Genomic DNA, 13,820 nt, shown 5'->3' on the forward strand with positions numbered 1-13,820 from the left:
GCTATGAGGTCTGAGCTGCTCGAGCAGAGGAAACCACATTGTCCCTTCCTCCCGTCCTGCCCCGAGGGCCAGGGGACACAGTGGAGGGGCTGCTGCTGACAGGAGCCTGAACTGCCCCCTCCTCTGAGCCCAGCCAGCTTTCTTGGCTCTACCTGCCTCAAAAGCCCGTAGAGGCCGGGCGCTGCGAGCGCCGTGGCTCACGCCTGTAATCCCAGCACTTTGGGAGGCTGAGGTGGACGGATCTTTTGAGGTCATGAGTTCGAGACCATCCAGGCCAACATGGCAAAACCCCATCTCCACTAAAAGTACAAAAATTAGCCAGGTGTGGTGGCAGGTGCCTGTAATCCCAGCTACTCTGGAGGCAGAGGCAGGAGAATCACTTGAACCTGGGAGGCGGAGGTTGCAGTGAGCTGAGATAGTGCCACTGCACTCCAGCCTGGGTGACAGAACGAGCCCCCTTCTCTAAAAAAGAAAAAAAAATGCCCATCGAACTGGGTGAGTTCCCTGGAGCTCTGCCCTGGGGTTGGGACTCTGGCTGGGACTTTGCCCCAGGCTGGTCCCCGAGAAACACCTACAGCCCTTGTGAACTGTGACCCACAGCAGGCTCTGGGAAGCGTTTTGAGCCTGAGAGAGAAGGAGCCCGTCCAGCCAGGCATTGGGGGTAGCTGGGTACTTGCTCTTTCCATCTTCATTATTCTCTCCCCAGTGATGAGCTGAGTTTTGCTTTAGGACCTTACTTTTCCTGTCTGTAACATGGGCACTGATGCACTGTGCATTTCTGTGGATCCAGAATTAGTGGGGCTGATAATCATCAAGCTGGGTTAATTTGGTTGGATTCCTTCACTTCCCTGAGCCTCAGTGTTCCTATCTGTAAAATGGGATAACAGGGCACCCTCTCAGAGGGGTTGTGAGGCTGAAAAGCTAAGCGCTTTGGTCCGCGCTGGCCCACAGGAGACTCACAGATGCCGGTGCTGCCCTGGCTCTCTTGTGCCCGCAGCTCATCCTCCTCTCCCCGCTGGCTGCTGAGAGTCAGCTGAGCTCTGGGAGGAAGCTGGGCTGTGCTTGATGGGGCCAGGAGGGCTGGGCCTGCTTCACAGACCGCTTCCCTTTTCTCTCTTTTTTTTTTTTTTTTTTTTGAGATGGAGTCTCACTCTGTCACCCAGGCTGGAGTGCAATGTCACGGTCTTGGCTCACTGAAACCTCCGCCTCCCAGGCTCAAACGATTCTCCTGCCTCAGCCTTCCGAGGAGCTGTGATTACAGGTGCCCGCCACCATGCCTGGCTAATTTTTGTGTTTTTAGTAGAGGTGGGGTTTCACCATGTTGGCCAGGCTGGTCTTGAACTCCTGACCTCAGGTGATCCGCTTGCCTCGGCTTCCCAAAGTGCTGGGATTACAGGCGTGAGACAGTGCGCCTGGCCGCTTCCCTTGTCTCTTGACTCACAATCCTTCCCAGGGAGCCCACAGTCTCCTTGCTGTGCACGGCACATGGAAGAGGAATCACAGGGTCAGAGCAGGGGGTCAAGAAGCTGCGCGGGACTGAAGCAGGGACAGAATCGTCCTTGACAGTAATGATAGCAGCTCCCGTGACGGCCTTGGAGCCCCGTGCTCAGTGTTTCTGTTTGCTGATAAACTCGTGAAGGTGGTGGCAGCCTCCCCAAATTACAGAAGAGAAAACTGAGGCCTGGAGAGATTAGGTAACTTGCCCAAGGTCGCTGGGCCCCAAGGAAGGAGAGGAAGGCAGCGTGGGAAAGGCCCTAGGAAGACTCTCACACCCTGCAGGGCTCATGATGGGCCATGAGCCGTCTGGGAGAGTCCCTTCCCCCTTTCCAGCCCTCAGTCTGGGGACGTGTGGGCCCCTGGATCCTCCTGGTTTCTCCAAGGTTCCTGGATCCCAGCGGCATCGAAGAAGTCCAGGCTGTGGGTTCTGCAGGGCCGGCAGCCGGGCCAGTCCTGCTCCTTGGCCGGGTGTCTGACTCAGGAGTGTTGTTTGTGGCTGTCAGGGGCACACCCCCCGGTGGGGGAAACCAGCCTCAGGGTGGCAGCAGCGGAGGCCTCGAAACGCACCCCTTCCCTGTCTCCAGGCTGCCGTTCAGATGTCTGTGCCTGGGCCGGAGTCTGTCCCGGCTCTGGGAACACTTGGTCCAGGTGTTCATAGCTGGGCATTTACCTGGCTGTCTCCATAGACCGGGAGGCCCCAGATAAAAGCATCTGTCAGCTTTGTCTTCCCCTAGAATGCATGCGGCGGGCAGCTTTCACATGTGGTCAGTGTGGGTGGTGAGGCGTGCCCAAGTGTGATGTGACTATCACCCCGCTTCTCTCTCATGTATGAAAGCGCATCAACGTATACTCCAAAGATGGGCCTGTCATTAACTCCCTCTAACTGATTTTTTAAAAAAGTAATTTGCAACAGGATTTTTTTTTTTTTTTTTGAGATAGAGTTTCGCTCTTGTCGCCCAGGCTGGAGTGCAGTGGCGTGATCTTGGCTCACTGCAACCTCTGCCTCCCAGGTTCAAGCGATTCTCCTGTCTCAGCCTCCTGAGTAGCTGGGAATACAGGCATGTGCCACGACGCCCGGCTAATTTTTGTACTTTTAGTAAAGACAGGGTTTCACCATGTTGGCCAGGCTGGTCTCGAACTCCTGACCTCAGGTGATCTCCCTGCCTCGGTCTCCCAAAGTGTTGGGATTACAGGCGTGAACCACTGCACCCGGCCTGCAACAGGAATTCTTGCAACGTATGCAACACCTCCAACCCCAGCACCTCCCAACTGAGGCTGTGGGCTGTACCTGGCTCACCCTGGTGCTTTCTGCACCCAGCATGGTGCTTGGCCTAGAGCAGGTGTTGCTGTCAGCGGCGGGAGGCCAGGTGGGCTGACTGTTCCCACTTTCACTTGTTCACTTGTCAAGCTCTTTTCTTTAGTTGGGACTTTATTAATGGAGAATGAAAGAAATCCAACTCATACTGGCTTTAGGAATAACTCTTTATTCGTACGGCTGGCTCTCCTATACCCGGGGTCAGCTGGTTCCTGGCACAGCCGGATCCTGGAGCTCAGATGATGCCCTTGAGACTCAATCTTTTGGCCGGGTGTGGTGGCTCCCGCCTGGAATCCCAGCACTTTGGGAGGCTGAGACGGGTGGATCACCGGAGGTCAGGAGTTCGAGACTAGCCTGGCCAACATGGTGAAACCCTGTCTCTACTAAAAACACAAAAATTAGCTGGGCGTGGTGGCGGGCGCCTGTAAACAGATATGTGGGAGGCTGAGGCAGGGGAATCACTTGAACCAGGGAGGTGGAGGTTGCAGTGAGCCGTGCCACTGCACTCCAGCCTGGGTGACAGAGCGAGACTCTTCAAAAAAAAAAAAAAAAAAGACATGATCTTTCTCCTCTTTCCCTTTCTCTGTCAGTTCTCTTCTCTGCCTTCCTGTGAGTCGGTTTCATTTTCCCCACACTCTCCACAGCCCCAGGCTTTCATCTCATGCTTCAGCAGGGGAAGCCTCTTGGGATGGTGTCTTGTTGGGTTTACTTAGGTCTCCTGAACCAGTCCCCTTGGCTGGCCAGGCCTGGTCAGGTGCCCACTCCTGACCCTGGAGGTGGATTGAGTGCAGAGGGTTCTTCTCAGATGGAGGCAGGGCAGGCAGGACCCAAGTTGTCCACGGTACCTGTTGAGCACTTCCTGGGTGTGGGTGGGTGCCTCTGGGGAGAGAGGCGCTTGTGGCACTCTGCAGTGGCCATCCTGTGGGAAGCCAGCAGCCTGAAGCCACCCCAGAGCATGAACCACACAATCCTAACTTTCCTGGGGCAGAGGTGAGGGTTGGGGGAAGCCTCCGGGCTCCTGCTGGGGACTAGCTGCCTTGGAGGTAGAGAGTCAGCCCCCAGCCCTGCTCTGGCCCAGGACCCTGAAGCTGCTCCCCCAGCCCACTCAGGGCTTGAGGCCCCTGTGCTGTCCCCTGCTGTGAAGGAGTCAAGAAAATAGAAATCCTTGTACCCTTCGTCCACAAGCTGGGGTTGGCCCCTGGCACCTCAGCACGGAGTCTAGGACCTTCACAGTGGCAGCAGGTGCCAGAGAGGAAATTTCAGGGAGGGTTGGCCAGAGAGAGAGGCCAATGGCACCAGCTAGGGCCGTTTTTTTCCTTTTTTTTTTTTTTTTTTTTTTTGAGATGGAGTTTTGCTCTTTGTTGCACAGGCTGGAGTACAACAGCATGATCTTGGCTCACTGCAACCTCTGCCTCCCAGGTTCAAACGATTCTCCTGCCTCAGCCTCCAGAGTAGCTGGGATTATAGGTACCTGCCATCATGCCTGGCTCATTTTTGTATTTTTAGTAGAGATGGGGTTTCACCATGTTGGCCAGGCTGGTCTCGAACTCCTGACCTCAGGTGATCCACCCGCGTTGGCCTCCCAAAGTGCTGGGATTACAGGTGTGAGCCGCCACACCCGGCCTTTCTTCTTCTTCTTTTTTTTTTTTTGAGACGTTTTCTTCCCTTTCTCCACTGCTTGGGGGTAGGGTGGGGCCTGGGGCCCTATCTGTGCCCACTCCCCCCAGTGTCTGTTGTAGTGTACGTGCCACATCCCTTTGAGGGGCTGCCATTAGTAAGTGCCTGCTGTGTACCAGGTGTGGTCAGCACCAGTGCGTGCAGAGATGAGCACTGGCCCTGTGGTGTGCAGACTGGGATGCGTGCAGGACACGCTAGCCCTGTGGCATGAGGACCAGCACCTGAGCATGCAGAGATGAGGACGAACCCTGCGGTTCAGCTGGGAAGACAAATCCACCCGCACATGGGTACCGCCCCCCCACCCCACACAGCCAGCGTGAAGCATGCCACTGCTCTGACCTCTGTCTAGACACTTGGCGGCGGGGGTGGGGGGCGGCTGACAGGTACAGCTCTGTGCCCATGTGTGTGTACATGCGAATGCCCCTTGCAGTGTGATGTGGTCTGAGTATGTGGATGAGTGCCTGCGGGCACATGTGTATGCGTTCATGTCTGTGCACGTGTCCAATGGGGCTTTGTCAGTATGTGAGAAGCGTGTGCAGGTGTGTCTACTGATGCCTGTGTGAAGTGGTGTGTGGATGTGCACGGGAGCGTGTGTGCCGCGCTGTGCTCAGGTGTGTACAGGTGTCTAATGATACGTATGTCTGCGTGCATGTATCTGTGTGTACCTGGGTATCCTGGGCGTGTGTGTGTCCATGTGTGCATCCCACGTGCCCCTGTGCCCATGCGTGTGCATGTATACTTACATCCACGTGTGCTAGTGGAATGACATGTGTGTGGCTGGTTCCTCTGGCGTGTGCCGAGCCATGGTGGGGCAGGCAGGCAAAGGTCCCTGTCTCAGGCAGCCCTCGGGAGTGGGTGTGAAGGTCCCCAGTGCTCAGGCGTCCCTGAGGCTTCCAGCTGAATCTTTCTGTCCCTCCTAGGCGTGGCTGTGGGAATCCTTGGGGCGCCTTTGGGTTCCAGGAAGCTGGGGCTGTGTGGGCCGGGCTGCTAACTGGGGCTGTGGAGCAATCTGCCAGCCGAGCCCCTTCCGGAGCTGTGGGTTCCTCTGGGTGTGGGGAAGCTGCCCTCCACAACCTCCTCGGCCTATCTTGGTGCCTCCTGGAGTGCAGGACACACCTCCCAGCTCTGCAGCCTCACCCACAGGAAGCTCGGGTTGGGGGCAGGCGAAGAGGGAGGTGCCACGCTGGGCTCCCCGCCCTGCACCGGCACTGACCCCGCTGTACCACGGCCCTCTTGCGGACAGCCCCGGGGACGTCGTTGGGACATCGCTGGGACCCCGGGCTCTGCAGCCACAACCATGTTTGGCCGGAAGCGCAGTGTCTCCTTTGGGGGCTTCGGATGGTGGGTGACAGGTGGGAGGGTGGGGGAATGATGGGAGAGAACTTAGAAGTGAAGTCTTGTTAAGTGCATTGGCGGCCGTGGGAACAGAGGGGCTCGGGCTGTGCCTGAGAGCTGGGTCTGCTGACGCCCTGGCAGGTCGAGATGCAGGATCCTGGTGGGGACATCAGAGACCGTAAGCCTTCCCCACTGTCCCTGGGCACAATCTGCTGGCGAATCCTGGAGGTCTGCGCCGGCTGCCCGTGGGGAGGTGGATAGCATGAGTGTGACTGCAGTTGAATGTGTGTGTCTCTGTGTCCGCAGGTTCCCATGTATGTGTGTGCGTGTCTGGGATTATGTGTAAGTGTGTGTGTGCGCGTTTGAGCCTGTGTGTGCAGGCGTGTGTGTGTGGCTGTGACTGCCAGTCCGTGTGACCGTGTGTGAGGTGTGTGCCTGTGCATGTGGGCAGCTGCCTGTCTGCACTTCTGGCCTTCTGTGTCTGTGTGTGCTTGTGTCTGCGTGTTTGTGTGTGTGATGCTCCTGTCTGTGCTGTTGTTGTGGCCTTGTGGCAGGGGAGTCTGTACCTGCTGGACCTCTGGGCTGCCTGCTGTCTTGGGGGTGGGTTGTGAGAGAAGGTCTCCCACCTGCACCCCAGGCAGCCCACCCTAGCTCTGTCCTAGCCTGAGCAGCTGCATCTGTCCCCAGCCTCCTGCCTGGCCCTCTGGACACTCTTGCCTCTAAGCTTCTGTCTGGGATGAGGGATGTGCTTTTTCTTCCCGGCGGGGGGCAGAAGGTAGGCACACGAAGGCCAAAGGCTTGTCTCTGGTTCCCAGTGCTGGCAGCTTCTTCGCAGCTGGGGAACAGAGTCTGGTGGTTTTCATGATCGGTTTCCTTTCAGTGCCTGGGCTGGGGGCGTTGTCAGACTGGGAGAGGGCCCCGCGGGAGGTGGCCGGGGGGTGTCCCGGTGTGGAAAATGGTGGACTAATGGGGGTGGCACGAAGGGCGAGGGGGAGAGGGGCTGTGTTCCTCGGTAATTTTTCGCTTCCGTGTGTGTGGCTTATTTCCCTCTTCCTCCTCTTCAAAAGCACTTTGCCATCCATCCTCTGGCAGGGGGGGACTGTGGGCACTCCATGTTTGGCAGATGGGATGGTGCGGATGAGAAGATGGCACAGCGTCGCCTGTGTCTGCTCTCGGGCCCTCCCTGACGCCTGGATCTGGGAGCTGCCACCCCGAGGGTAGGTGCCAGTGTCCGGGAGGCAGCAGAGGACTTGGCTTCTGGTTGGGAGGGGTGTGTGTGTCTTGGCTGTGGGCCTTGCAGGGCAGGGCCCAGCAATTAGATTGTGCCCTCCAAGGCCCGCCTTTCTCTGGGAGGTGTGGAGCAGATGGAAGGCTGGTCGCCAGAAAGCTCCGGGTGCACAGGTCCCGGTCTCAGCCTAGCTTCATTCCATATGAAGCCCTCTGTGTTGAGACCCACAGCTCCAGAGCACAAGGCAAAGCCAGGCCTGAGATTTGAATCTGGGCAGGTGAGGGGGAAGACAGGAGTGTGGCTGCCCAGGGCTGCCAAGATAGAAAGCAGAATTCCAAGTTCTTCTCTAGCAGCCCTTCTCACTGGGGCTTCCTTAATGAAATGCACATTCAGATTCAGGAGGTCTAGGGTGAGCCGAAGGTGGAGGAAGAGCCCTAGGATGTCCCAGACGCCCTTGTGTGCTGGCTCAGTGTCCACTAGGCTGTGGGTTCCAGGAGGGCAGGCCCTGCCCCGTCGCGTTCACCTGGAAGCCTGGCATGTCACACAGGCTCAGTCGATGCTTGTGGACTCATCGAGGTCTTTTGCACACAGCAGGTGTCTGCTTGGGGCCCCTTGAGGTTGACGGGATGGCGGGGCCTTCTGGGCTTGGAAGGTTAAGGCAGCAAGAAAGGGGGCGAGACTGGGGTTTGGGCCTCCTCATCTGGGATGGCTGTCAGCTGGGAGGGGGTGTCACGGATTCCTGGAGCCCTGGTCCCTCCAGACAGTGAACAGAATCTCTGGGGCTGGTGTTTTCCAAGCTCCATTGGATGCAGGGTGGATAACCTCTGGCACCAGGGGCAGACAAGGTGATGAGGGTGGGTGGGATGGGATGGGAGAGGGAGGAGTGCCCAGGAGCCTTGGCTTCCTGAAAGGGAAAGGCCCAGCCTCACAGTCCTCTCCATCTCCCATCTCAGCCTCTCCAAAACCAGAGCCCTGCCCTCCTGAGGCCACACCCTGATGTGGGAACTCTGGTGGGCTGGCTGCTGTGTAGGCGTGGTTTGAACCAGGGCTGCTGTGACCACGGTGCCTGTAGGTGGTGCGGTGGGCGGGGCTGACCCGACAGCGGTCAGAGGTGCACGCACCAGGAGCCCCGGTTCCAGCGGTTCCAGCGCCGACTCCACCTTGACCATTGAGGAACTCTAATGGGACACTTCCTCTCTCTGGGTCTCAGTTTCCCCTTGTGTCAGTGGGGGATTTCTGCCTTACCCACAACACAGGGCTGTTGTAAGAATTAGGAGATTCCTTGAGAAAATGTAAAACCTAAGCGCCTGCTGTGAGGGGCTGCCATCCGGCAGCTCTGGGTTGCACGCGTTACAGCAGAGTGTGGGGCTCTGAGTCCTGCTCGGATCTGGGTGTCTGTGCGTTGAATGGGGGAAGAGGAGGGTCTGCACCCCAGAGCGGGTGGGGATTCCAGGGTGAGACCCTCAGGGACCAGTAGTGGAAGCCCTAAGGAAGGGACTCAAGAGGACGTGTGAGGAAGAAACTGGGAGAGACGTGGGCCAGGCCCCTCGGGGTGCCGCTTGCTTTGCTGTTGTAACTGAGATCAGAAGGTGCTGGGAGTTTACTCAGAGTGAAAGGACCCCGTCCCCTAGCTCCAGGCCTCAGGGTGACTTGTGGGCTGGCTCAGCTCCGTGTCCTCTCCTCTTCCCTGGAGCTGTGACTGTGGGAAGCCTGAGGCAGCGCTGGGCTGGCCAGAGAAGGGTGCCGGAAAGAGCCTCCAGGGTCTCCAGCATGCTGGAGCCAGTGGCAGTTTTAGTGAAGCTGACAGTGATGGTGACACTGATGATGACATGTGGTGACATGGACAGTGATGGTGACACGAATCGTGATGTTGCAAAGGCAGCATTGGTGCTGGTGGCAGTGCTGGTGACAGTGGTGGTCACGACCCTTCCACAAGAGGAGATACTGACAGTGGGAACACTGTCCACCTTTCTGCCTCTGGAGAGGGAGGAGGGGCCTCTTCTTGCCAGCCATAAGGGCTGGCATATGCAGGGGGGTAAAAATAGAACCTCAGCGGCGCTGTCTCCCCTTCCAGTGAGGGCGGGCACAGGCTGGGGATGGAGGAGCTGGCTGTGAGGGCAGTCTGCAGCAAACGTGATCTTCCCCGCTCTGAACCTCTGTGCCTGATACAACCCACCAGGGTCTGCCCCAGGAGCAGGGTCTGCCTCCCTGGATGGACTGGTGGCTCCTTGGGCAGGAGGGTCCCTGGGGCTGGGGATGCTTGCGTCTTCCCAAAGCAGACGCCTGGGAAATATGGATGTCCACCTGGCATTCAGATTGACATCCGTGCTGACCCCTGAAGCCGGGTTGCTGGGTTCTCTTGCGAGGGTAGCCGTAATAAAGGGAGAGGCTGCATACAAAGTGCTTACGATCCCTGGACCTGACGTGAGATACCTGAATTCAGACTGGGCCAGTGATTTTACCTTTCTGAGCCTGGGTTTCCTCATCTCTGAAATGGGGAGAATAATAATACGCATGTTGTAGGGTGGTGTGTGGCCCCAGCTCTCCCAGCACTCAGAGGCGTCTCTCCCCCTGCTAGCGGAGAACTGGCCCCTTTAGCCAGTCCCTGACAGAGCCCTGCTGTCTGGTGGTTTGGGCTGTCCCGGGGACTCCTCCATACAGATGCTATGTAGGAGTCTTCAGCCTCAGCACTGACCGGAGCCCTTGCTTTTCTCTTGGCAGGATCGACAAGACCATGCTGGCAAGTCTGAAGGTCAAGTAAGTAGCAATTTCCTGTTCTGTAAAGGTCAGAGATGACGCGGATCAGAGCGCCGGGCCCTTGCTCCCCCCAGGTTGTGGGAGACACAAGAGGGGCTGTCGTGTTTGTCAGATTCCAGTCCGAGTCCATGGTGCTTCCAGATCGGAGGAGGCTGGACTAACTCTTATTCCTGGGGTGTTCAGGGAGAGGTAGAGGTGGGAATGGAATCACCAGGGGCTAGAATGGTGGGAGTGTGTGTAGCAGGTGTAACATTCAGTCCCATTATTCTTTTTTTTCTTTTTCTTTTTCTTTCTTTCTTTCTTTCTTTTTTTTTTTTTGAGACGGAGTCTTGCTCTGTTGCCAGGCTGGAGTGCGGTGGCATGATCTCTGCTCACTGCAACCTCCACCTTCCAGGTTCAAGTGAATCTCCTGCCTCAGCCTCCCAAGTAGCTGGGATTACAGGCGCCCACCACCACACCTGGCTAATTTTTGTATTTTTAGTAGAGACGGAGTTTCACCATGTTGGCCAGGCTGGTCTCAATCTCTTGACGTCATGGTCCGCCCACCTAGGCCTCCCAAAGTGCTGGGATTATAGGCGTGAGCCACTGCGCCTAGCCCAGACCCATTATCTTCCTATCACTTTAGTTTTTAGATATATATTGGGCTGGGCATGGTGGCTCACACCTGTAATCCCAGCACTTTGGGAGGCCGAGGTGGGTGGATCACCTGAGGTCAGGAGTTCCAGACCAGCCTGGCCAACATGGTGAAACCCCGTCTCTACTAAAAATACAAAAATTAGCTGAGCGTGATGGCACTTGCCTGTAATCCCAGATACTCAGGAGGCTGAAGCAGGAGAATCACTTGAACCCAGGAGGTGGAGGTTGCATTGAGCCGAGATCACACCATTGCACTCCAGCCTGGGGGACAGAGTGAGACTCTGTCTCAAAAAAAAAAAAAGAAAGATAATTACATTTTTTATCACTTTAATTTTTATGTGAACTCCCAATCCTGGCAGTGACTTTCTGACATTCCCCGCCTACTAGGACCTGACTAAACACTCCAGGGTATGTGTGTGTGTGTGTGTGTGTGTGTGTGTGTGTGTGTGTGTGTGTGTGTGTGATGTCAGCTGCTCATCAAGTCATTTGTTGCCAGGTATGTCAGCATGGGCAGCCTGGCCCTGGGGCTTTCTGAGGCTCCCACGCCAGACTCAGGGTGTGGGAATTACCTGCCTCGGTTTACCGTGTATCTCTTGGTCCGTCTGCTGAGGTCCGAAGCAGGCACAGCCCTCTCCTAGAACCTCTGACCTCTCTTCCCTCACCACCTTCATTCCTTTTTCCTCTGCGTTTCTGGCCAAACCATTTTGTCTGCATCCTGATCTCCTTTTTCTTTTGAGACTTAACCAAAGTGTAGCCTGCGTCCAGCTGCACCCCTCCCATGAGGCAATGAGTACTGGCTAACCATCTGCTCCAGTGGAGTGAATTGAAAAGGAGGGAAATTCTAGGAGGAAAAAAGCATTGGCCTCTAGCTCAAAATATTCTCCCGGCACATGTGAATTCACTGTTGCATGGAAAATTCCTCCAATGAATCGCCCTCCTTCCGAGGCAGCTTCTCTGGGTTGTCACTCCCCCATCTCGGCAGAAGGTTTTCCCTGCCTAGTCTCCCTCTGTCATGCCATTCAGTTGCCAGCCCTGGTTGTGTATCCCCTGGATGCAGGTCCCTGGGCAAAGTACGGCCAGTCTTGACGGTTGGCATAAAAGAGGGTCAAAATAAGAGGTTTCCCACTTTGGTTGGTTTTGTTCAAAAAGGTGAGGCTGGGCAGTTCGCAGGGCCGGGATGGAGGACAGACTTTTCCTGCCCTTCAAGAGCTTTCAGTTTCTCTGTTGAGCTGATGCCAGGAAGCTGGATGTGGTGGTTCACGCCTGTAATCCCAGTACTTTGGGAGGCCAAGGTGGGTGGATCGCCTGAGGTCAGGAGTTCGAGACCAGCCTGGTCAACATGGTGAAACCCTATCTCTGCTAAAAATAAAAAAAATTAGCTGGGCGCGGTGGCGGGCACCTGTAATCCCAGCTACTCGGCCGACTGAGGCAGGAGAATTGCTTGAACCTGGGAGGTGGAGGTTGCAGTGAGGCGAGATCGCACCACAGCCTGGGAGACAAGAGTGAAATGCCGTCTCAAAAAAAAAAGTCTAGAGCTGATGCCAGGAGTGCCATGGAGTAGTCCCGAAAGGCTGCCTGGAGGAGGTGGCCTCTAAAGTAGCTCTTAGAGATGAAGCAGGATAGTAGGACCCCCATGTCTGTGCTGGCTTGGCATGGTGTGTGCATCAGTGCAGACCCATTCAATCTGGAGGTGTCAGGGCAAGTCACCCGGGACAAGATGCTTCCCTTCTCTGGGCTTTAGTTTCCATATCTTTTGTCCAGTGGACACAATAATGTCTGGTTTTCCTAGAGCTTTCTAGAGCATATTTGCATACTGAGTGAGACGCCAGGCATGAAGCAGAGCTGCTAAGGGGTGTAGAGTGGTCAGAGTGTTCTTTTGGTGCTGTTTTGGGACATCTAGTTCAATCTCACAAGCACTTATCGAGGGAGGGCCTGTTTGTAAATATAATATCTGCAACCTGGAAGTGCACCAGTTATAGGGTAGAGTGAAAAGCTGGGGGCGTGGGCCAGGGTTGAGATTGGGACCCCAGTGAGGTCTCTGAGTGATTATCTGGGAAGGCGATATTGGGATGATAGCTTGGGACAGTGTGTAGCACTGTGTTCGGAGTTTTATTGGTTAAGATTCCTTTGATTACAAGAAACAAAAACCCAGTGTCATCTGGTTACGCAAAAGATGGAATTTATGGGGAAGAAAGCAGGGTGCCCCAGGGAACTGAAGGGGAGGAAGCAAAGCCAGAGCTCAGGAGTGGTTGAACCAGGAACTGGAAACCCGTTGCCATCAAAATCCCAGCTGGCTTCTTTGCAGACATGGATAAGCTGATCCTGAGATTCACATAGAAGTTCAAAGATAATCTTGAAAAAGGAGAACAAAGTTGGTGCACTCATTCTTCCTGATTTCAAAACGTATCGCGGCCAGGCGCGATGGCTCACGCCTGTAATCCCAGCACTTTCGGAGGTCGAGGCACGTGGATCATTTGAGGTCAGGAGTTTGCGACAAGCCTGACCAACATGGTAAAACCCCGTCTCTACTGAAAATACAAAAATTAGCCCAGTGTGGTGGTGTGCGCCTGTAGCCCCGGCTACTTGGGAGGCTGAGGCAGGAGAGTCGCTTGAACCCAGGAGGTGGAGGTTACCATGAGCTGAGATCACACCATTACACTACAGCCTGGGTGACAGAGTGAGACTATGTCTCAAAACAAAACAAAAACAGAACAAAACAAAACAAAAGTATTGCAAAGCTATGGTTATTAAGACAGTGTGGTACGGACATAAAGATGGACAGACAGATGGATCCAGTAGAATTCAGAGTTCAGAAATAAGCCCTTGCATTTCTGGTGAATTGATGAGGCAGCCAAATGCCCACTGTTGGGGCTCCTGAGTCACCAAGATGCCTCCTCCCTCTGCCTTTGCTGGGTGAGGCATCTCTCCTTCTACAGCAGCTCACTGCATTCCCTGCCATGTAGCGGATACTCCTGGGCTGCAGCCCAGGCTCCCTGGTTGCCTTGGCTCCCTCCCCAAGGACCTGGTGTCCTTGGTGCCTCCCCAGGTGTCCCTGAGGCCTGCAGCTCTGACGACAGGGGTCTGGCCTCACCGTTATGAAGCATTCACTGTGTGCTCAGGCTTCGTTGCACTGTTTTCCTGAGGCTTTGCACCCACCTCATGAAGCAGGCACCAATCCTCTCTGCATTTTACAGATAAGAAAGTGGAGACTGAGAGAGTTTAGGAAACCCGTTCAAGGTCTTCAGGGAGGAAGTCACAGAGTTGGGATTTGAATCTGGGTCTGTGTTTTGTGTGTGGAGCTGAGTGGTTCTCACACCTGCCTCCCGCCCTACTTTCCCATATTCTTTCCCTGATGTTCTCAGGGGCTGTGTATAT

At 55.6% G+C, this 13,820-nt stretch overlaps 1 protein-coding gene across 9 annotated transcripts in view, besides 1 other annotated feature; it reads left to right on the forward strand.

Moving 5' to 3' along the window:
* Positions 1–13,820, forward strand: part of RAP1GAP2 (RAP1 GTPase activating protein 2) — a 282,097-nt gene that overhangs the window by 35,097 nt on the left and 233,180 nt on the right. For 7 of the 9 annotated variants that reach the window (XM_047435668.1, NM_001411048.1, NM_001438816.1 and 4 more), the window contains one exon: positions 9,774–9,809. In XM_047435668.1, the coding sequence (XP_047291624.1) occupies positions 9,787–9,809 (23 nt within the window). In that variant the 5' untranslated portion in view covers positions 9,774–9,786. Of the gene's footprint in view, positions 1–5,696; positions 5,831–9,773; positions 9,810–13,820 lie in introns of those variants that run through there. The other 2 variants (NM_015085.5, NM_001100398.2) reach the window with 1 other exon arrangement.
* Positions 1,924–2,163: an enhancer, noted in NCBI's record as "active region_11499". NCBI's record gives its function as "activates an Ori minimal core promoter by ATAC-STARR-seq in GM12878 lymphoblastoid cells {active_cell/tissue: GM12878}" and the evidence as "EXISTENCE:reporter gene assay evidence [ECO:0000049][PMID:35858748]".

Source organism: Homo sapiens, chromosome 17 (assembly GCF_000001405.40).
Source record: "Homo sapiens chromosome 17, GRCh38.p14 Primary Assembly".
In the NCBI taxonomy this organism is placed as follows: domain Eukaryota; kingdom Metazoa; phylum Chordata; class Mammalia; order Primates; family Hominidae; genus Homo; species Homo sapiens.